This window comes from Homo sapiens, chromosome 3, assembly GCF_000001405.40.
Source record: "Homo sapiens chromosome 3, GRCh38.p14 Primary Assembly".
Classification (NCBI taxonomy): domain Eukaryota; kingdom Metazoa; phylum Chordata; class Mammalia; order Primates; family Hominidae; genus Homo; species Homo sapiens.
Genome location: NC_000003.12, coordinates 153,156,804 through 153,178,603, shown reverse-complemented (window position 1 = coordinate 153,178,603; position 21,800 = coordinate 153,156,804). Strand labels below are relative to the sequence as shown.

At 42.0% G+C, this 21,800-nt stretch overlaps 1 protein-coding gene across 1 annotated transcript, besides 9 other annotated features; it reads right to left on the bottom strand.

Moving 5' to 3' along the window:
• Window positions 1-7,976: 7,976 nt before the first annotated feature.
• Window positions 7,977-16,378, bottom strand: RAP2B (RAP2B, member of RAS oncogene family). Its single transcript, NM_002886.4, has one exon. The coding sequence runs from the start codon at window positions 15,908-15,910 to the stop codon at window positions 15,359-15,361; it is 552 nt and encodes a 183-aa protein (NP_002877.2). The 5' UTR covers window positions 15,911-16,378; the 3' UTR covers window positions 7,977-15,358.
• Window positions 15,952-16,201: a silencer, noted in NCBI's record as "silent region_14831". NCBI's record gives its function as "represses an Ori minimal core promoter by ATAC-STARR-seq in GM12878 lymphoblastoid cells {active_cell/tissue: GM12878}" and the evidence as "EXISTENCE:reporter gene assay evidence [ECO:0000049][PMID:35858748]".
• Window positions 16,272-16,611: a silencer, noted in NCBI's record as "silent region_14830". NCBI's record gives its function as "represses an Ori minimal core promoter by ATAC-STARR-seq in GM12878 lymphoblastoid cells {active_cell/tissue: GM12878}" and the evidence as "EXISTENCE:reporter gene assay evidence [ECO:0000049][PMID:35858748]".
• Window positions 16,711-17,279: an enhancer, noted in NCBI's record as "H3K27ac hESC enhancer chr3:152879114-152879682 (GRCh37/hg19 assembly coordinates)". NCBI's record gives its function as "activates a minimal SCP1, AML or CMV promoter by ChIP-STARR-seq in naive H9 embryonic stem cells {active_cell/tissue: H9 hESC(naive)}" and the evidence as "EXISTENCE:reporter gene assay evidence [ECO:0000049][PMID:30033119]".
• Window positions 16,711-17,421: a biological region, named in NCBI's record as "H3K27ac hESC enhancer GRCh37_chr3:152879114-152879682".
• Window positions 16,782-16,831: an enhancer, noted in NCBI's record as "active region_20716". NCBI's record gives its function as "activates an Ori minimal core promoter by ATAC-STARR-seq in GM12878 lymphoblastoid cells {active_cell/tissue: GM12878}" and the evidence as "EXISTENCE:reporter gene assay evidence [ECO:0000049][PMID:35858748]".
• Window positions 17,092-17,421: a silencer, noted in NCBI's record as "silent region_14829". NCBI's record gives its function as "represses an Ori minimal core promoter by ATAC-STARR-seq in GM12878 lymphoblastoid cells {active_cell/tissue: GM12878}" and the evidence as "EXISTENCE:reporter gene assay evidence [ECO:0000049][PMID:35858748]".
• Window positions 17,511-18,040: an enhancer, noted in NCBI's record as "H3K27ac-H3K4me1 hESC enhancer chr3:152878353-152878882 (GRCh37/hg19 assembly coordinates)". NCBI's record gives its function as "activates a minimal SCP1, AML or CMV promoter by ChIP-STARR-seq in primed H9 embryonic stem cells {active_cell/tissue: H9 hESC(primed)}" and the evidence as "EXISTENCE:reporter gene assay evidence [ECO:0000049][PMID:30033119]".
• Window positions 17,592-17,971: an enhancer, noted in NCBI's record as "active region_20715". NCBI's record gives its function as "activates an Ori minimal core promoter by ATAC-STARR-seq in GM12878 lymphoblastoid cells {active_cell/tissue: GM12878}" and the evidence as "EXISTENCE:reporter gene assay evidence [ECO:0000049][PMID:35858748]".
• Window positions 18,041-18,572: an enhancer, noted in NCBI's record as "H3K27ac-H3K4me1 hESC enhancer chr3:152877821-152878352 (GRCh37/hg19 assembly coordinates)". NCBI's record gives its function as "activates a minimal SCP1, AML or CMV promoter by ChIP-STARR-seq in naive H9 embryonic stem cells {active_cell/tissue: H9 hESC(naive)}" and the evidence as "EXISTENCE:reporter gene assay evidence [ECO:0000049][PMID:30033119]".

Below are 21,800 nucleotides of genomic sequence, written 5' to 3'. Positions count from 1 at the left end.
TGAGCTAAGAAATCTCATTCATGAGTTCCATACATCATGAATTTAAATGTGCATTTTAACATCATTTTTCCTAGTTCAAAACAGTAAAATATTATGGCTGCAGTTCTAAGTAAATACTTCAATCACTTAGCAACCTACCTGTTCTTAATCTGCAAATTCTACAAACACCACATTGCCTTTGACCTTCCTCAACCTTCTATTCTTAAGAACTACACATTCAATCTTAAGGAAAGATATGTTTGAATATATTGCATATATTCACTATGGCATGAAGCAGACAGTTATGTAAGAAGTGAATTATGGTTGCTATGCAAATCATAACTTAGTATTTTGGACAAAAGCTCTAACTCTGTTTAAGTGAACTATATATTTTTTTAAAATACCAGAAGAAAAATACACTGAAAGATCAATTTTTTAGATAATAAGTTTCATACAGATTTCATCTTTGCTCTAAAATGCACATAGGATCATGACAAACGGGAGGCAGGACTAGATTGCAGCTCCGACTCGGACAGACAGAGCAGTGTGTGGAGGCTCTCATCATGAATTTTTGCTCCAGAATGACTGCAGGAATAAATCAGGAAACCTAGGGGACCCACAGACCCCCTGAAGGAAACAGATTGCTCCTGCAGGACCCAGGAAACACCCCAAATACAGTGCTGGTATCCATGGCCGAGAGACCCACAGGTGGTTCACCTCACAGGACTCTGTGCAGACAACCCCCAGTACCAGCCCGGAGCCTGGTCGACTTGCCTAGTGGCTAGATCCAGGAGTGAGATAACAATCATTACAGCTGGGCTCTCAAGAAGCCACATCCATAGGAAGAGGGGGTGAGTATCACATCAAGGGAACACCCCATGGGACAAATGAATCTGAACAATAGCCTTCAGCCCTAGACCTTCCTTCTTGCCCAGGCTGGTCTCAAACTCCTGAGCTCAAGTGATCCTCCAGCCTCAGCCTCCCAGAGTGCTAGGATTACAGGTGTGAGCCACCACAACTGGCCTGGTTTATTTATTTCTGCTGTATTATCTACTCTATTCATTATACAAAATTGTTTACAACATGCCATTCTGAATACATTTTTTATGCATCCCTACTGGCCAGTACAAATCAATTATTAATAATTCTATTACTTGTATTTAAGAGGGCAAATATTTTGCCAAAATTATCACCACCTTGATCAATGCAAACAACTACACAGTGACTTTAGGGAATTCACATACATTCTTTTTTTTTTGGTCCTACTCATAAAGTGATACTCTTCTGAGTAAAGTTTAAACAGAAAAATTATGAGTTAAGTTTGCTATAAAATGTAAAGAGAGATAATACTTTTAAAAATAATTATTACATTTTTAAAATAATAAATTATAATTAATCAAAGGGTGAATTTCATTTCCACTGAAAATGTTGCATTAAAAATTATTCCCAGGCTATAAAAGGTAAATGCAAATAATGACATTGTAAAACATCCTGCACAATTGTTTCAATTTAATACATACATTTTCTTGGCTACTATATAGAGCGATTCATAAGTGAGTATTTTCTCAATATAGACTTTTTATTTATTGTTTGTTTGTTTGTTTTTAGATGCAGAGTCTTGCTCTGTTGCCCGGGCTGAAGTGCACTGGTGCGATCTCAGCTCACTGCAACCTCCGCCTCCCAGGTTCAAGCGATTCTCCTGCCTCAGCCTCCCAAGTAGCTGGGATTACAGGCATGCAACACACCCAGCTAAATTTTTGTATTTTTAGTAGAGACGGGGTTTCACCACGTTGGCCAAACTGGTCTCAAACTCCTGACCTTAAGTGATCCGCCTGCCACGGTCTTCCAAAGTGCCAGTATTACAGGCGTGAGCCACTGTGCCCAGTCTAGACTTTTTAATTAGAAAGAAAATATAACACTCCTCAAAGCCAATAAAACCTAAAGATAAGGAAAAAATGCTGCAAAACGACACGGATGATTATAAAAGAAGAAAACAGAAAAAAAAAACAAGAAATCTGTTTTCTCTGTTAATTGTGATCACGTAACCAATTAAATCTTGTTTCCCAATCAACAGAATAAACACGCAATCTACATAATGTGAGAAAATACTTGCAAACTATGCATCCAAGAAAGGACTAATATCTAGAATCTGTAAGAAACTTAAACAAATCAAAAAGAAAAAAAAAACCCATTAAAAAGGGGCGAATGACATGAACAGACACTTCTCAAAAGAAGACATATAAATGGCCCACAAACAAGAAAAAATGCTCTACATCCTTAATCATCACAGAAATGCAAATTAAAACCACAATGAAATACCATCTTACACCAATCAGAATAGCTATAATTAAAAAGTAAAAAAATAACAGATGTTGGAGAGGATGTAGAGAAAAAGGAATGCTTACACACCATTGGTGGGAATGTAAATTAGTTCAACCTCTATGGAAAACAGTATGAAAATTTCTCAAATAACTAAAAATAAAACTACCATTCTACCCAGCAATACTACTACTGGGTGTCTATCCTAAGCAAAAAAAAATTGTTTGACACCTTGGCTCAGTTTGGTGGCCTGCACCTATAATCCCACTCTTTTGGGAGACTGAAGCAAGAAGACTGCTTGAGCCCAGAAGTTTGAGACTAACCTGGGCAATATAGCAAGACCTTGTTTCTACAGAAAATTCAAAATAATTAGCCAGGTATGGTGGCACATGCCTATAGTCCCAGCTACTCAGAGGCTGAGGCAAGAAGATCGCTTGAGCCCAGCAGTTCAAGGTTGCAGTGAGCCATGATCACGCCACTACACTCCAGGCTGAATAACAGAAGGAGACCCTGTCCCCGCCCCACAAAAAAAAACAGGAAACCTGCACTTGTATGTTCATTGCAGCACTGCAGCACTACTGGCAATAGCAAAGTCATGGAATCAACCTGTGTTCATCAACGGTGAACTGGATAAAGACAATATGGTACACATAAACCACGAAATACTATGCAGCCATAAAAAAAAAAAACAAAACCAAAATCATGTCCTTTGCAGCATCATGAATGCAGCTGGAGGCCATTAAGTGAATTTATGCAGAAACAGAAAATCAAATACTACATGTCTAACTTAAAAGTGGGAGCTAAACACTGGGTATATATACACATAAAGATGGAAACACTAGACACTGGGACTCCTAAAAGAGGGAGGGAAGCAGGGAGGCGGGACCTGAAATGTATATATCAGGTACTACATTCACTAGTTGTGTGATGGGTTCACTAGAAGCCTAAATCCCAGCATCACCCAATATACCCATGTAACGAACCGGCATCCTCAAACACGTATCCCCTGAATCTAAACTTTTTTTAAAAAAATTGTGTTTCCATTTTCAATTTATACAGACATTACAGATAAAATATTTCTACCTACATCATCCATTCTAATACAAGACTATTCCTAAATTTGAAAAGCAAGTTTTAGCTTCTCAAATCACTCACTTTAATCAAAGTTTTTTTTATATTGTAAAGAATTATTTCATTTATTACCTACCTTGTTTATAAAAATTATTCTAGTTGGTTAGAACCTTTTGGTGGACTTGAGATTGTTCTTGCTCATTTACAAAATTTTGGCTGTGCTCAGTGGCTTAGGCCAGGCATGGTGCCTCACACCTGTAATCCTAGCACTTTGGGAGGCCAAGGTGGGAGGATCACCTGAGGTCAGGAGTTCGAGACCAGCCTGGCCAACATGGTGAAACCCCATCTCTGCTAAAAATACAAAAATTAGCGGAGCGCAGTGGTGCGTGCCTGTAATCTCAGCTACCCGGGAGGCTGAGGCAGGAGAATCACTGGAACCCAGGAGGCAGAGGCTGCAGTGAGCCAAGATTGTGCCACTGCACTCCAGCCTGGGCGACAGAGCAAGACTCCATCTCAAAAAAAAAAAAAACAAAACAAAACAAAAAAAAACTTTGACATTCACTATATACTAGGAATGTTTAATTTCCAAATGTGCCCCCTGTAAAATGCAGAATCTTAATTGTCCCAACAGGTAGGGTGGCTAATAGTGTGATTGCTGAAAGCTTAGGAATATGCTGCATAGGTTTTTAAATGTCCATTTCATTTAAAACTTAAGGACAAAAACAACCGTGTCTGATTCAGAGTAAATTAAAGATCCATGATCATTGAGTTAATTCCACATTAACGAACTTGCTAACAGTATACTTAATACTGTATTCCAGGGGGTTGGCAGCCACCCCGTATGTGCTAACCACAGGCTGTCAGATTCGAGGCACTTTATTACAATGCAATCACCAATCACTACTGTCTCTGCTGCCCCCTTCTTGACAGGCTTGCTGAGAGGTTTGGGCACAGGTAGGTGTGTGAAGTTAAGCAGCAGGAGTCGCCCTGGACACACTGTTATTTGTTAGGAAAGATGGGAGGGAGGGGAGGGGAGGGGAGGGGACAGAAGGAGCTAATTGTAAAAATGAAAATAAAGAAGGACAGAATGCATAAAGTGCATCCTTTCTATCCCAGCAGGGAGGTCAGGTATTGAATAGAAGCCTGGAGTGGGCTGGAAAGAGGCTATGAGGTGAGCTGGAGGAAGATGAGTAAAGGATGAGCACCTTCCAACTGTCTCCCAGTAAAGACTTAAGGGGGCAGGAAACAAAACTGCAACATAGTTGCTCTCAACCTCCCCTTCAGGACTTCTCATACTTAACACACAGGCCTCTCTGCTTAGTCATCAGGCTTCCCAGAGATAATCTCTGGCCATCCAAGTTCATCACCTCAACCAGAACACACTCCTCTTTTGAATATTCCTTCTCCCTCCAGGGAACCAAAATTTCCAACAAATGTTAATCCCTGAATACTACGTATTTCTCTTAGGTGTGGATTTAATGAACTGACCAAAGTTATATTGTCAGAAGCACAATAGTGTTGTAGGCCGGGCGTGGTGGCTTACGTCTGTAATCCCAGCACTTTCGGAGGCTGAGGCAGGCAGATCACCTGAGGTGAGGAGTTCCAGACCAGCCTCGCCAACATGGAGAAACCACGTCTTTACTAAATATACAAACATTAGTCGGGCGTGGTGGTGCACCTGTAATCCTAGCTAGTCGGGAGGCTGAGGCAGGAGAATCACTTGAACCTGGTAGGCGGAAGTTGCAGTGAGCCGAGATCGCGCCACTGCATTCCAGCCTGGGTGAAAGAAGCTCAGTCTAGAAAAAAAAAAAAAAAAGCATTATTATTTTTGAAGAGAAGCATGAATTGCAATGCTCTGGGGAAAGGGAAGTCTTAACTGCTGCTAGTTTACTCTAGGTTCAAACCTCCTCTCTGGTTTATGCCTCCTTCATCCACACAAGGTCTAGTTTAGAGGAGTGGTTCTCAACCAGGGACTATTTTGCCCTCCCCCTTCCCAGGGACAATGTCTGCAGACACTTTCGGTTGTCACCACTGGGGTGGGGAGGATGATACTGGCATCGAGTGGGTAGGGGCCAGGGCTGCTGCTGAACATACTAAAATGCCTAGGACAGCCTCCACAACAAATTACCTAGCTCAAAATGTGAACAGGGACAAGGTTGAGAAATCCTGCCTTGAGTCCAATTTATTACAGCAGCAGCATCACTGCATCCTATAGGCTTCTTCACCTTTGGCCAGGAGGAGCCCTGAGCCTCAGTCTTGAGTCACAGCAGATCACAACTTCGAACACAAGGAAATCCTCTGGTATTGGAGGAACGTAGGAGTGGAAGTGTGAGCTGAAGAACAATTCCACCTCGGCCTGCAGTTTATTCTCCCTTCTCAGCTCCATCACATTCTTACGTCTAAGCAACAAGGAAACAGTATAAAGACCTCCTGCTGAACGCTAACAAAATGATTCAGAAAAATATTTCATTACCCTTACCACTATTTATACTTCCTCAATAACAAAATAAAAGCTGGTTTGTACAAAAATGCAGAAAAACAATTTTGCTTCTTAGGTTTTTCACCGTTGTTGACTCTGCCTTTCATGATACGATACTTTCTTAGAGATGCATTTAGCTTATTTCTCATTTTTTCTTACTTCAGTACAAGATTAGTGAGGAAGAAGAGATGGTCTGCAAATATTTTTCCACAGTTCGAAGTATATTAAGATGAATATTCCTACAATCTAATTCATTTTCTAGAAAACTTCATTCATCAGTTTTAAAACCAAAACAGAGCTTATGCCCAAACCTAAAGGTAATGTCTGATTAGAGGCAATGATCTCTGGTTGGATGTGTCTCAGTCTGCACCTCAAATATAGTGGAAACATACGTCAAAAAGCACATTTATATAGCCATCAGTTACACAGTTCTTAGTTTTTTTAATCAATTGATGTGGATTATATTAGAGAACCATTTGCATAAACCAGATGTGGATGAATGAAATGATATATAAAAGAAAGAGAAAAACAGGTACTATGGCTAAATAATTAATGACTTATTTATTCTATAGAGACACGTTCTCTGTTTATTGCCCAGGCAGGTCTTGAACTCCTGCGCTCAAGCAATCCTCCCACCCTGGCCTCCCAAAGTACTCGGATTATAGGCGTGAGCCACCACACCCAGCCAGTATGACTAAGATAAGATATCTAAACTCAGTAAAAAAACTCAGGACTTAATACTTTTTCTACTCCATGAGGAATAATATTGAAATATACTTGTAATTCTATTATCTACTGAAAAGGTTAAATTCAAAGCTATCTAAAATATAATTCAAACTATGTTTTATTGAAATATATACTCTTATAGGATTACGCTAATACAGATGTCTATAGAGGTTCTTTTCCTGAAGAAGACATAAATCAATATAATGTTAGCCTCTAAAGAGAATATCTAAAATATTATATTAATATGTATAATATTAAATAACATTAGAATATTCTGAGCTCATGAATAACCAGATTTTGAAAACTTTACAAATGGCCAGATAACATATAAAATATTAAAACCCTTACTCAAGCTATGAAACTTTAATAAATTTGCATTTCATAAATGGTTCAATGGCAGTCAAAATTTTTTTTAATTAAGTACCTTCACATAAACGATTCTGCTACCCCTACAATTCTGTAACCTTCCACATTTAAAAAGCATGTTGTTAAATTCATGAGACAGTCTGTACAAAATGGTGACTAGAAATCATCTTGCAAACCACAGGAGGTTAATAATCACAACCCCACCCTTCAATTCATATGGCTTTACAATAACTGCTATTATTGTTATCTCTTCCAGCTTGTTACCCAACGTTTCTTTCTCTGTGCTGGTTGCTTTCTTCCAGTAAGCATAAGAGGTAACAGAAGAAGAGCTTTTGTGTAAAATATTAACTTACTTAAAATGTCAACTTCTTTGGCACACTCATTTTTACAAGATTATCTTTTTCAAAAGAAATATCTTGTCCTGAATCTTCTTTACATGAAGAACCAGAAAGCCAGTGACTGTTTATTTCTTTCAGAATATAACCTAAATTATCTTTTCCTTTGGTTTCCTCACTAAAGAAAAATATAAGTGAATAAATTTAATTTTATTTTACTTTTTTTTTGAGATGGAGTCTCATTCTATCACCCAGGCTGGAGTGCAGTGGTGCGATCTTGGCTCACTGTAATCTCTGCCACCCAGGTTCAAGCAATTCTGCCTCAGCCTCCTGAGTAGCTGGGATTACAGGTATCTCCCACCGCACCCGGCTAATTTTTGTATTTTTAGTAGAGACGGGGTTTCACCTTCTTGGCCAGGCTGGTCTTGAACTCCTGACTTCGTGATCCACCTGCCTCGGCCTCTCAAACTACTGGGATTACAGGTGTGAGCCACCGTGCCCAGCCTTGTGAGTAAATTTTATAAATCTGTTTTCTTCATGTTTTCCTCTTCCCTTGGACATGAAAATATAAAAGTAAAATCATTTCCTCTTGTAAGTGTTCAATTTTAGCTAATCTCAAAAAGGAAGTTGAAAATGATGCAGAAAAGTAAATAAAATGACAATCTTATTACACAGTTTCACATACAACAGAACAATTATTATTTGAAATTCATGGAATCCATTTTTATTTACAATTTCCACATACCTTTCAAAGGCCCAATGTTCAATAAATTTATCTACTCTATTGTCTGCCAAACAGCCCCACAGTATTATAACTGATGACACATGTAGATGTGCTTTTCCATATACTATTATTGTTTAATATACACTATTTCACAGATTATAGTGAAAAAGAGCATAAAGCTGTTGCGCCTTCACCTGACTTCCTCTTTTAAGTATTAGCGCTCGCAGTACAGCTATTAATAATAGTAGTATGTGCTCAATAAGTGTTGAATAATCAATGAATCAATTTCAGCTGTTTACCAATTTCCACTGCAACCATATTCTTGATAATTAAGGTTGGTCTCAGGCCTTTTGGGGACACCTGTATTCACAAGGCATCAATAATCTTTCTCTTTTCCATTTTTTAAAAAATTTTGCTACCTTTGCAATTTTTCACAATTACCACAAATAAACCAACCACGTTTTCAATCCTCTGACAAACTTAACCTCACATAATTTTGCAAGATAATTCATTTTAAAATGAGTAAGTTTAGTCAACTGGATAAGAAAGAATGCAAATAGCTGTCTCCTCCAATTTATAGAACAGATCAACACTCATAATTTCAATAGCCATAAGGCCCATTTTGCTTTTCCTGCATGTCTATACCACTTAGTCATTTCTGCTTCTCAAAACAAACCATTTCACTAATTAAGGCTTTAGAAATTGTCACTCCTGGCTGGATGCAGTGGCTCAGGCCTGTAATCCCAGCACTTTGAGGGGCTGAGGAGGGAAGATCTCCTGAGCCCAGGAATTTGAGACCAGCCTGGGCAACACGGCAAGACCCTATCTCTACAATTTTTTTTTTAAATAAAATTATCATCTCAGCCGGGTGCAGTGGCTCACGCCTGTAATCCCAACTCTTGGGAGGCTGAGGTGGGTGGAGCACAAGGTCAGAAGTTCAAGACCATCCTGACCAACGTAGTGAAACCCCATCTCTACTAAAAATACAAAAATTAGGCGGGCGTGGTGGTGCACGCCTGTAATCCCAGCTACTCAGGAGGATGAGGCAGGCTAATCGCTTGAACCTGGGAGGCAGAGGTTGCAGTGAGCCGAGATCGCGCCATTGCACTCCAGCCTGGGCGACAGAGCCAGACTCCATTTCAAAAAAAAGGCTGGGTGCGGTGGCTCACACCTGTAATCCCAGCACTTTGGGAAGCCAAGGTGGGCAGATCACAAGGTCAGGAGTTCACGACCAGCCTGGCCAGTATGGTGAAATGCTGTCTCTATGAAAAATACAAAAATTAGCCGGGAGTGGTGGAGGGCGCCCGTAGTCCCAGCTACTGGAAAGGCTGAGGCAGGAGAATTGCTTGAACCCAGGAAGCGGAAGTTGCAGTGAGCCGAGATCGCGCCATTGCACTCCAGCCTGGCCGACAGAGCAAGACTCCGTCTCAAAGAAAAAAAAAATTATCATCTCATTGTTTTTTCCTTCTTTAATGTAAATAGTTTAGTCCTAATGATTATTAACCAGGATTAGAATAAACTACCAGATAATTCTGATTGTCTTATATATGGCAAATAAATTCATAGTATAGGACACTTTTAAAATATATTATTCCAACATAAATATAACCCTAAAATTAAAACAGGTTCACAAAATCAAGTATTAGTCCATATTAACAGTAGTAGAAATAACCGTAAAATGAAAGCCAAGATAAAAATATACTGAAGTCAGTGTTTCATTGTACTATCACCAGCAATAGCCTTTTGAATATGGAGCTCCCTAAAACTGTCATAGATCTCAAACTATCAACCATAAATGTCTGTAACTTTTGTTGAAAATGAACCTTAGAATAGCATACAGGAATGTTCCTTTATCAGATGGGCAAACTAAACTTTAAAAAAGTTTATTTCTGTATAGTTGGAATGGAAGACATAGCTCCAAAGACAATCTTAATAAATCTATCATGGGTAGGGAAGATAAAATCCTACCATTCTTCAATCAACACTTTTCACCTTCTAATAGAATAGTTTCAGATGTAACACTCCATGTTCCATTCATTCAGCAAATAGCTATTAAGCTACTATAGAGAGCTGTAGACTACTGTGCTATGAAAATAACAGTAACAACAACAGGGTTGAACAAAAAAAATTTTAACCAAAAATATTTATTATTCTTGAGGCAAAAGCAAGAAAATAACTGAAGTCCAGGAAGCATTAAAAATGAAAATGGAGATTTGAGTAAGGGCCTTTCTTCCCCACCCAAGCATGATAATATTATTCTCAGCATCTAAATAGTAGCTACTACTCCCTCAGTCTATAAACTGGTACTAAACTTTCTAAATTGTAAAAGAGAAATTTGAAGTAAGCAATCCACTACTTGTAATTAGATCTACTATTGTTTCTTTAGAAGGCCCCCAAATTGTCTTTAAAAACCCAGATCTTTAACATAAAGTTCTGGGACCTTCTGAGGGAATTAAGATGCATAACGAAAGAAGCTGCAAGATACACAGTTTTGTGGTATGCATTTTCCCAGAATGGATTACAGTAGAACTAAATGAGAAGGAATTAACTAACACCTGGAAGTCTGGCTAAGAAACTGAGTCACAGACATACGCATGTGCTTACCATGATATGAAGATTTAAATTCTCTGGCACAATGATTTTTAGAACCCTTGCCATGAAAACTTAAAATCTTTGTTTTTTAATGTTGAAGAGAAGACAAATAAAGTGTCCCCTTTTATTGAAGACATACTTTTCAAATTTTTTTTCCCCTAGGTTGGGGAGAAGGGGAATGTTGATTCTGATCACTTAGGCTTTGCCTCTATTCTAACCACATTTTCATTTAAAGTCAACTTCTGAATTAACATTGAAAACCATAGTCAAAATGTTCCTGTAATAATGTGAAAATGATCAAAAACTACCTGCAATGTTTATTCTATTTCACACACAACAGTTAGTCTTAGTATAAATGGTATATGTCCTCTTTAGCTTAGATTTCAATAGAGATTATTCTCTAACTGTAGTAGACAGCACTCCAAAATGTGTGACATGAGTCTGAAGTCTGTGTCTCTCAATATCTAGGTGGCTGTCAGTATAGTACTCATTTGGAGTTCAGTCTAGATCACTGGTTTTCAAAGTGTGGTCCCTGGAACAGCAATAACACAATCACTTGGAAACTTGTTAGAAATGAAAATTGAGACCCTACCCGAGACCCACTGGGTAAGAAACTGGAGGAGGGTCCCAGCAGTACATGTTTTAAGCTCCAGGTGATTTTGATATATGGTCAAGTTTGAGAACCTTTCAACCAGATGATCCCCATAGCCTTCTCAAACCTTCAAAATCCAGTTAATAGATAAAGATCTCACTCACCTAGAACTAGCTCTGTGTTCAGTTAAATGCACTGAATCATTCCTAATAGTCTGCATAAAATACTGTAATCAAGAATACCACATTATATTAGTATTTTAAAATTTACTATATTTTCACAGACAAAATGTATATTAGCAAACTTTCCCCAAATAAGACACTGTGACAAATGTCTGGTATCGTTTTAACAGTGATGATCTCCAAATTAAATCTCGGTTCCCTTTATACTTATAATGCAGGAACTTATTCCAGCTGTTGTGAAAAACAAAAAATCTATGCTCTTATGACAGTTAAGATGCTTCTACTTCTCAAGACCAGCTGCTACATATAGCTTTCTGTTTCTCATACCCCCTGTGAGAAATACTAGAATATGACCCAAAAGAGGGTACAATAACAAAACTACCTGAACAGATAAAATAGATCAGGCATTCTAGGATTCCCAACCACAGGAAATATTACATAATCAGGAAGCATGAAGTCCCATACATTTAAAGAATTCTATCCCCAAATACATCTGGTCCCAAAATGTGATTCAATTAAGTCTACAACAGTTAACAACATGGAAATTGTTCTACGAAAGAACCGTAACTCTCAAAGACTAGAGTGTTAGACCTAAGATGATACCTTTAACTTTCCTGAAGCTATTAAAAAAGGAGGACAAAAATAACCCTTTTGAAATAACATAAAACCTGGATTGACTGTCAGAGACCAAAAGGAAAAGCTGTTTAAAAACAGCAGGGGTCAAGTTTAAAAGTCAGCTTTTGCTCCCCAAGATAAAGACTCCTTTCCCACCCAATTTCTGTTTTGACAGGTGATTGCCTTACAACAAACTCCGCCCTCCCTGACTCACTTCCTTTAACACTAACTTTTTCATTGAAACAAATGCCCTTATCTCTTCACACACTAATACCACAAGGGGTTCTTAATAGTCAAAGAAACGAACATATTCTTAAAAACATTTTTAAGAAAAAAATAGCAGTGTTCCTAATTTCTCTCAATTTTGCCAAGAAAATATGAGATAAAACCAAAAACGCTATTTTCTTGCTTCAGGCACACATAAAATTGCTTTCATTGATAATCCAAAAAGCATTTATTTTACATCACTTAATAAAAGCATATTAAAATCTTCTGCTCTGCCATCCTAGACTATAAAGAGGTCCTGCAAGTGACTAAATCCTGGGCGGAGGTGATTAACGCACCCAGCAACATATTTCATTTCCAATTTTCCACTTTCAAATATCTTCTGTCAGTATATACATTTCTTAGATACTTGGCAGCATTTTATGTCAAAAGGTTTCCAAAAACTTAAAAATAAAACAAGAGACAGTTAAATGCCAAATGCCTTTTCTTAAAAAAACCCTCCAGACAGTACTTGACATGACTTCAGCATTTTTAACACTTTGGATCTACTTTAGCAACTGAATTTATTCAAATACAAGAACGAATCTTTGCAAAGGCATAAAATTATACAGTATCTTTTAATTTCTACATTTAGGATATTGATACTATTGCCTCCCAATTGTGTTTGATATCAAACTTAAGTGAGATCAGAGTGGGAAAAAAAAAATGGCAGTAGGACCATTGCCAGGCAAAATTCTCTATTCTTCCTCCATTGCTGGAGTACTGAGATGCCTCTTGGGCAAAAAAAAAAAAGCAAAGCAAAAACACACACACACATTTTAAGGCAAGATATGTTAACACAGCTTTAAAGAAACCTGTGGCCTGTTAATTTCTTTTGGTTTTGTCAAGGGTGTAAATCCCTTTGTCAAGACTCTTCAGATTTCAGCTACACTTCATAGACCTAAGGTATACCAAGTACTCTCTTGATATGTATGAACATGTTATATTACTAAGACCACCTTAAGAAAAATAAAAAATAAAAAGCTCACACTGCCTCCTACTGTTAAAAGGAAAAACTTATGAGGTCAAATGTGGTCCAAACTGCAGGGTGTAAATGAGAACAAGGATATTATCTTAGCCTGTTTTCTTTTAAATCTATTTCCAAATCAAAACCTCAAAAGGGTTGAGGCAGTGTCTACAATCCATTCAAATGTACTGCAAAAAACATCACTAGGTATAACTTCAGAATTGAAAACCATCTTTCCCAAACATGTTTTTGACTTGATGTGCAATATAAACAGAGGGAAAAAAGGAAGAAAAACTTAAAAGTGCCATCCTACTTTGCCAGAAGGATGGTTACTTTCCCAGATCTAAGGCAATTTTAATAGATGGGTTCTCTTGTTCCCTACCTACAATGAGGTAAACTGTTCCATGTCAGATCAGATTCAAAATACCTGTTCATCTTCTAATCAGATGGTAATGGCCATACCCAGGGCTTCCTCGACCTTGATGGTTTTCTCCAAATTTAAAAAGTTGGGAGTAGTGTCATCCAACTTGTCACTGAGACACTTCTGTCTTTAAAATTTCACAAATAGCTCTGAAGAGTATCATGCACCTGCCCCATCCACCTCAGCCATGATACTGTATTAAATCACTGAATATGAAACACAGAAACACAAACAATAGTTTTGGGTTTGTTTCTTTAAAAATGACATTTGTATTAAAAGTCTTAAAATGAAGAGACAATGATTAAACGCATGAAATTAAAAATTACAATTAGTTAGAATTGGTACATCACAACAGTAAAATTTTGCTCTTTGCTTCTGGAGGAACACCCTACAACAGGTAATTAAAAAATTTAAAAATAATATGAAAGGGGAGCTAAATACCTGAAAATTTAAACAAAATGAAGCAAAAAAAAGGGAAACAAATTCATTGCAAGAGATGGAAATTACATTTTAAAGGCTGAAAATAATAAAGAAATTCACTAAACAACAGGCCCTATTGTCCTGGCTCCTTCAGAAAGATTACTGAAAGGAAACTGGGAAGTGGTTTGGGGAATAGCAGATTCTGGGATATGGTGGGAAGTTCACAGGTTGGCACCGGCTGGAACAGCTGAGTTTTGAAGGCACTCTGCAGACACAGGGGTGCTGGGGGCCCTGAATCACATTTACAAAGTCTTTGTACTGTATTTTTAAAAGCTAGTCATTAAAATCGGTTACTGCCAACCAAAAAACAAAAACAAAAGGCTAAACTTAAAACACACACACACCACACACATACACACACACACCATAGTACACACGAAAATGTGCAGATCTGTAACATTTTTTTCACAGCTGATAAAAAAAAAAAATACTACCATTCTCCCCCAGACTCCCCTTTGATACAGTAGGTAAACAAAATAGATTTTTTTTCCACAAATATCAGCAGACACTTTCTGGCACCCCACACTGTATTGGCATCAGTGTTAACAGTCCCAGTTCAGATGTGCAATACTTCAGATTGGATACACTGTAACAAGAATCCAACTTTGCATAGACATCCTCAGAATCGCAATCAGTCATGGGGTTGCCCTTCCAAGCTGGCAGAAAAGGAACCCGATCTTAATTTCCAGCTACTCCTGGAAAAGAAGGAAAAAAAGTTTCTTCCTCTCCTCCTGCTCCTTCATATGGTTCTCCCGGACTTCCTTCCATGTATTTAAAACTTGGAACTAGAAAAACGGCTGTTGACCAAAAAAAAAAAAAAAAAAAAAGAAAGAAAATAGAAAAAAAAAAAAAAAAACCATTTCCACCTTCTCTCCCTCCTTTTCATCCACCCTTCCCCCCCATTTTTTTTCCAGGCTGAAACTTTTGCTTGGTGGGTGTCAAGCTGCCGATACTGCGCCCTAACGGCTACTTAAACGGGGAAATATGCATCAACCAAAATCAGGGAGAAACGTACATGCTGCAAAGAGCCACATTTCCACCAGAGTATCGGATGGGCAGGACCGGACACCCCCTCGGGCACAGGGTGGAGGCAGGGGACGCCGGCCGCGGAGGCCAGCCGGGCTCCCAAGACACCCTGGCCAATGCAAAGTGGTCTCCAATCTCAAAGCAAGAAATAAATCACATTTAGAGAGTCGGATGCGTTTGGCTTTTGTGCGCAGAGCGCGGCCGGCGCGCGGTGGCCGCCTCAGAGGATCACGCAGGCCGAGCAGCAGCCCTCATCGCCGTTGGGCTGCGCCGCGTAGTTCATCTGCCGCACGATCTCGGCAAATAGCTCGTCTACCGAGGCTTTGTTTTTGGCCGACGTCTCCATGAAGGGGCAGCTCCACTCCTCAGCCAGGGCCTTGCCCTCCCCGTACGAGACCTCGCGCTCACCCTCCAGGTCCACCTTGTTGCCCACCAGGATCATGGGCACGCGCTCGTACCGCTTCACGCGGATGATCTGGTCCCGCATGGGCTTGATGTCCTGGAAGCTCTGCTGGTTGACGAGGCTGTAGACCAGGATGAAGCCCTGGCCGTTCTTGATGTACAGGTCCCGCATGGACGCGAACTGCTCGGTGCCCGCCGTATCCAGGATCTCCAGCACCGACGGCGACGAGTCCACCTCAATCTCCTTGCGGTAAAAGTCTTCGATGGTCGGGTCGTACTTCTCGATGAAGGAGCCCGTCACGAACTGCACGGTGAGCGCGGACTTGCCCACGCCGCCCGAGCCCAGCACCACCACTTTGTACTCTCTCATGGCTCCGTCAGCGCTCTCGCCGCGCCTGCCGCGGCCCCGTCGGGGCTGCGCGCCGGGGAAGGCTGGGCTTGGCGGCTGGACTTCTCTTCCCCTTCCTCAGCTACGCAGGAAAAACCCAGGAGAGAGCAACCCAGAGAACGCAGGGCGGAAACCACCGAACGGAGGCCGGGCGCCGGGCCGGCCGGCGGCGGCGGCAGCGTATCCCTGGGGTGCGGGTCCGGGCCCCGCAGCAGTCCGCGGCGGCAGCAGCAGCCCGGGCGGCGAACCGAGAGGACAATGCCCGCAGCCTGCGCGAGGCGACGGCTGGAGCTCCTAGCTGCGGCAGCCCGGGAGGGCAGGGAGGCGGTGGCGGCGGGCTGCGGAGGTGGCTGCTAATTGCGCGTCGGGCCGGGACGCGCGTGGCATGAGTCCCCGCGGAACGTGCGCCCACCGCCGCGGCCCATCGCGCTCTCTCCCACAGCCTCTACTGGGCGAGGGCTTCCTACTCGCCGCGCGCAGCCCGGCCCGCCCCTCCCCGGCGAGCATGCCCAGTGCGTTCCGGCCGCGCCTTGCCCAAGCGGCCGCTCCTGGTTTTCCGCGGGGCCGGGAGGGGGCGGGGCAGTGGGCGGGGCTCCGGATTTGAGTCCGATTTGGGGAGTGGCGCGAGTTAGGAACTGGCTGGAAGATGGGGTGTGTGTGCGTATATGGGAGCGAGGAAAGCGCTGTAGGAAGCATGCAGGCCGCTTTATTTTACAGCTGTGGGAGTGGTGGACAAGGGCGGCGGCTCTGCGAGAAGCACGTGGGCGCGGCGGGCCGCCTCAGGGATGGAGTAGGCTGTGGTCTTGCCAACTCCCGTTATCAAAGGCCCAAGGACGCCATTCACTCAGCCCCGGGCGGGCGTGGGTCTGGGGGCCGGAAACCCGAAGTCCTGTGGGTGCCGTGGAATGCACGAGCAGCCGGCGGAGCAAACCTGCCCCATAGATTTTTCTAAACCGTTCGCCACAGAAACGCTACTCTGTCTTCTCTGACCGACTCTGTGCACTGCAGCCTTGCACAAAGAAAACAGGAGGTACTCCAAGTCTGAGATACTGTTCCGACTAGGAAAGGGGTAGCTTCTGGTACCTGCAGCTCTCTCGGGGCAGGGTCCCGCGGGTCGTACCCACCTCCCCGCTCGAGTGCGGTCAAAACCCGGAGACCGGATTACATCCCAATCCAGAAGTCTCAGGGCGCCCGCAGTTAGTTCAGGGCATGCTCAGTCGCAGAGCAGGTTTTTGGGCTTGGAAGTAGGAAGCTTTTGCACCACACACCCACACTCTAGCTCAAATTACCTCTCCCAGACTCTGCACTCATTGGTCTCGGGGCGCGAGTCTGACACCCCTAAGTGTTGTTCATTGGCTGCCGCCAAGGCTTTATCAGTTTGGGGCGCTTCATTGGCTAAAAAGTAGCCTCCGCTCGCGATTGGTTATTTATAGAGATTGAGCGGAGAGGCGGAGGCACAGCTGTTCTTTCTCCGTTGCTCCCCCACCCTCTGCCTCCCACTTCCCCAACCCTGGCGTTTTGAAGTAAAAGTGAAAAAATAAGAGGCATTTAGGCTGAGAGCTCAGAACTAAATATAGTTCTTTGTTGGTGTTTTCGAGAGGGTCTGACTCCTCGGTTTCCAGTCACGACTGCCCCTTAAAGGGAGCACAAAGGGCTAATTACAGGTTTTGGTCCGCAAGAAACCGCAGAGTTGCCAAGTTTTTTTGCAGGGAGTGGGAGGGGGCGAGGAGCCGAAATGGGCCACTTGGAATTCGTTTCACCCGGAGGGGTAGGGGAGTGTCCAAGCTTGCTTCAGAGGAAGCGTCTTCGCTGGCGGGCCGGGCAATCGCTAGACTTGGCTGGGCTGGCGCTCCCGGGAGGTGCAAGGGAGATGCCCCGACTTGTTCCGACTCCCTCGCTCCTCGCTGAGGAGGGATGTCAAGACCTGTCTGCAGGCTGAGCTCGGCGGCGGCGGGTGCGGGATGGGGAGGGAGGCGGTGGAGCTGCGTCAGCGCTGGCTCCCCGTCCTGATGTCACTGCTCCCTGGTTTCACCGTCCGCATCGGAGGGTAAACCTGGGCATGGCTAACACGGTTTCAGTTCCTAGTGCCGCCGTGACTCACGCTGCGTTTGCTAGTTAACCTCCAAACCCCTGGCCAAAGCAGCTTCCGTGCACGTCTGCAGCGTGAAGTCCTTGGGCACAGAACCGGGCGGGACGTGGGCTGCCCCTGATGCCTTGGGTGGGGTGGGTGGTGCCCACACCCGCGCCTCACCCCAATTTAGTAGAGAGAGGAGACTTTCACCTTGACTGTCAGAGTGCTTGGATGTTATGAAGCTTATATAATTCTCCAGAAAAACCTCTCAGAGGCAAACTCGCCTAAGCTGGAGAGAACCCTGTCAACATCCACCCAATGTGTAATGTCCACCAAGCGTTTTACATATACTGCCACTCCTCATAATAATGATTATTTACCCATTTTAAAGATGAGGAAACTGAGGCTGTGAGATGATCAATAATTTGCCTGCGATGCCACAACTAGAAAGTGGCCAACCTAAGATTCCAACCCAGGGATTTGCCTGCAGAGCCTAGTCTCATAACCACTGGACCATACTTACCCGTCACATGAATGTTCCGGTATGTTATTCTTTCTTAGGGTGATTTTAGAGGCTGTGTGATCAGACTGGCTCTTAAACCCAAGAGGGACCTCCGCCCACAGCCACCCTCTGGCTCTCCTCTGGCAGTGCCCCTCTTCCGGTCAGGCTGATGGCCCAGCTGGAGCCTGACCCTCTTCTAGACTACATACGCTCCATGTAGTCAGAACTCTGGACTGCTCTGCCCAAATGGTGCCAAGTTCACTTTCAGGATCTGGTCGGGACTCTGAACTCACTCCTGTGTCCAAGAAATAGCTCTTCTTTGGGGTGTGGACAGTACCTGGACCTGTGGGCTAAGGTGTGCACTCCCAGGTGCTTTGGGCCCCTCGTAATGCAGGAAGAGGGATCATTCGCGATCAGCTTTATCCTCCATGACACCTTCCAGCCTGGCCCTTAGAGAAGTCCAGGAATTCATAGTTCACAACTGGCCATCCAGCTCCGTGTAGGAGGTATTTGTCAAGGTGGGAGGACAGATCATATTTTGTTTAACAGTTTGTTATCTTGATTTATGACTTAAATACTTAGGTTAATGCTATGTGGGCCTCTATTGGTACTCTTAACCACAAATATTAGGTGTGGTTCTGAGTGTGATATAGAAGCAGATGCTTTGTCCTTCTGGGCCTGAAGTCTAATCTCAAGTATTGGATATCAGTTATTATCAGAGGCCTTAGGCGAGTCACTTAAGCTCTCCTAACCTTAGTTTCCCTTTCTATAAAATGGTGATAATATAATTTGCCCTACGCACCTACCTACACAAGGAAACTTGGAGAAAATCCGGTCACCAAATCAATCATTTTACAGCAGAGAGAGCTGAGCAGAATTAGGACCCTGCTGTCTTAGCTGCCCTTACCATGTGCCAGGCTGTCCAGAGGGATAATAATTAACAGATAATAGACGGAAACATGTTTCTAAAGCTGCAGCACCCCATACGTGCATCAAATTACTGCTCAGACCCAGACAGCCTGACAGTCCCTTGAGAAATGACCATTCCTAAGACTCTAGGTAGCCATGTGGATGGGTATTACTGAACCTTTATGGCCTCCTCAGTACCAGAAAGATGCCACAATTTGAATACTTTTTATTAGGGATTCTTCAATAGCAATTTTTATTACATTCAGATGGTCTTCCACAGAAAGATTTATATTGGACCTTTGGGATTTCAAATGAAGCAATGAAAAATGTACAATTTTTTTTTTTTTTTGAGACAGTGTCTTGCTCTGTCGCCCAGGCTGGAGTGCAATGGCACGATCTCAGCTCACTGCAACCTCTGCCTCCCAGGTTCAAGTGATTCTCCAGCCTCAGCCTCCTGAGTAACTGGGATTACAGGGGCGTGCCACCACGCCTAACTAATTTTTGTATTTTTAGTAGAGACAGGGTTTCATCATGTTGGCCAGGCTGGTCTCGAACTCCTGATCTCAGGTGATCTGCCCACATCAGCCTCCCAAAGTACTGGGATTAGAGGCATGAGCCACTGTGCCCGGCCCAGTGTACAAATTTTTAGGGTTGATCATTTCTTCATGTAAAATTTGTTAGGAATATTTTTACCCCCACTCACAGCGTGAAACATTATCTATCCTGTACTATAATTATTACATTTCCATAACTAAGTCTGGTCACCTTAAGCACCATGTGAAATACTCAAGGGCAAGGTCCATGTCTAGTTTATCTTTAGAGCCACCTTTGTCCTTCACAGCACTTAGTACCGTAGAAAGCCCTCAAATATTTATTAATGAATGTGTGAATGGTATTTTATCCTTTTCCAAACTCTATTTGTGTTAGAAGATCATATCAATCCTTGATAAGACATAACATGTTTTCGATCCACAGAAAAATGTATACTAATGTGTCAGTCTGTCTCCCTGAGTCACAAAGATGCTGGAGTGATCAAAGTCTTCATTTATTGGGGTGAAAACACTAAATCAGTGCTATCTTGAGGAAAGATACCAAAGCATCCAATGGATAAAGCTTTTGTCTGAAGAAGACATTTTCAGATTATGTGGAAAGGCATTTTTGAAAAACAATCTAACATAAAAGCTATCAGGAAGAGACAGCTTAACTTTGATACTTTGCATAAACAGGGGTCCCATTCCTAACCTTTGCTCACAGAGTGACCTCCTTCCAAGATACACAGGTTGGGTCTTGAAAGAATTAGATTTCTTAGAATGTGACTGTTTTACGTCCTCAAGAAAATAACTACCCGCTTGTTCTTTTCATTTGTACTAGGTAAGTGGAGGTTTGTTTCATAATGTTCATAGTTTTAGTTAGTGTCACCTATAGGTAAACAAAAAATTCTGAACAAATTCTAATTTTGAAAGCATCAAAGGTAAGTTGATAGTGACCATATATCATTATTTGAAAGCTGAAGTAGGCCAGGCGCAATGGCTCACACCTGTAATCCCAGCACTTTGGGAGGCCGAGGCGGGCAGATCACGAGGTCAGGAGTTTGAGTCCAGCCTGGCCAAAACGGCAAAACCCCATCTCTACTAAAAATACAAAAATTGGCTGGGTGTGGTGGCACATGCTTGTGGTCCCAGCTACTTGGGGGGGCTGAGGCAGGAGAATCACTCGAACCTGGGAGGCAGAGGTTGCAGTGAGCAGAGATTGTGCCACTGCACTCCAGCCTGGGTGACAGAGTGAGACTCCATCTCAAAAAAATAAATAAAGTGGAGGTATAAGTGTGAGAATAACTGTGCCTTACTGTGTTCTCAATATGTGTTAAGTAACTGAATATATTATAACATGACCACATATCCACTAGTAGGCTTAGGATATTTTACTTTATCAATGGTCCTTTTTTAATAATCTTCAGTAATGTCTCTAAAAATATTTTGTACATCAACCAAACCATCATTATCATTTCATACTATTCATACTATTCAGATTACACTTTGGGTAGACAACATATTACACATTATTTCACACTACTATATACTATTCATATTATACTTTGGGAAGCCATTTTGTAAGAACAATTACTTGTAATGAGATTTTATGTCTTTATATTTTAACAGTGTCCTAAAATCCTAGCATGATAACTAGGAGAGACAAAGATCTGCCTAGTTTTCTAATTTCAGTGTCTGCCTATATAACTTGTACTCTGATTCTTTTTTCCTATTTTAATTATTCTTCAAAGGAAAGTGTGTAGAAGAGTCTTAAATTTTAAATTAAATAACCTCTTAAAATCAAGTTTTCTATAAACTTTTTTACAGGCAAAAACAAATAGGAGAATCAAAATAGCTATG

Coding starts and splice junctions, on each gene's coding strand:
- RAP2B (NM_002886.4), bottom strand. CDS start 15,910: ATGAGAGAGTACAAAGTGGTGGTGCTGGGCTCGGGCGGCGTGGGCAAG.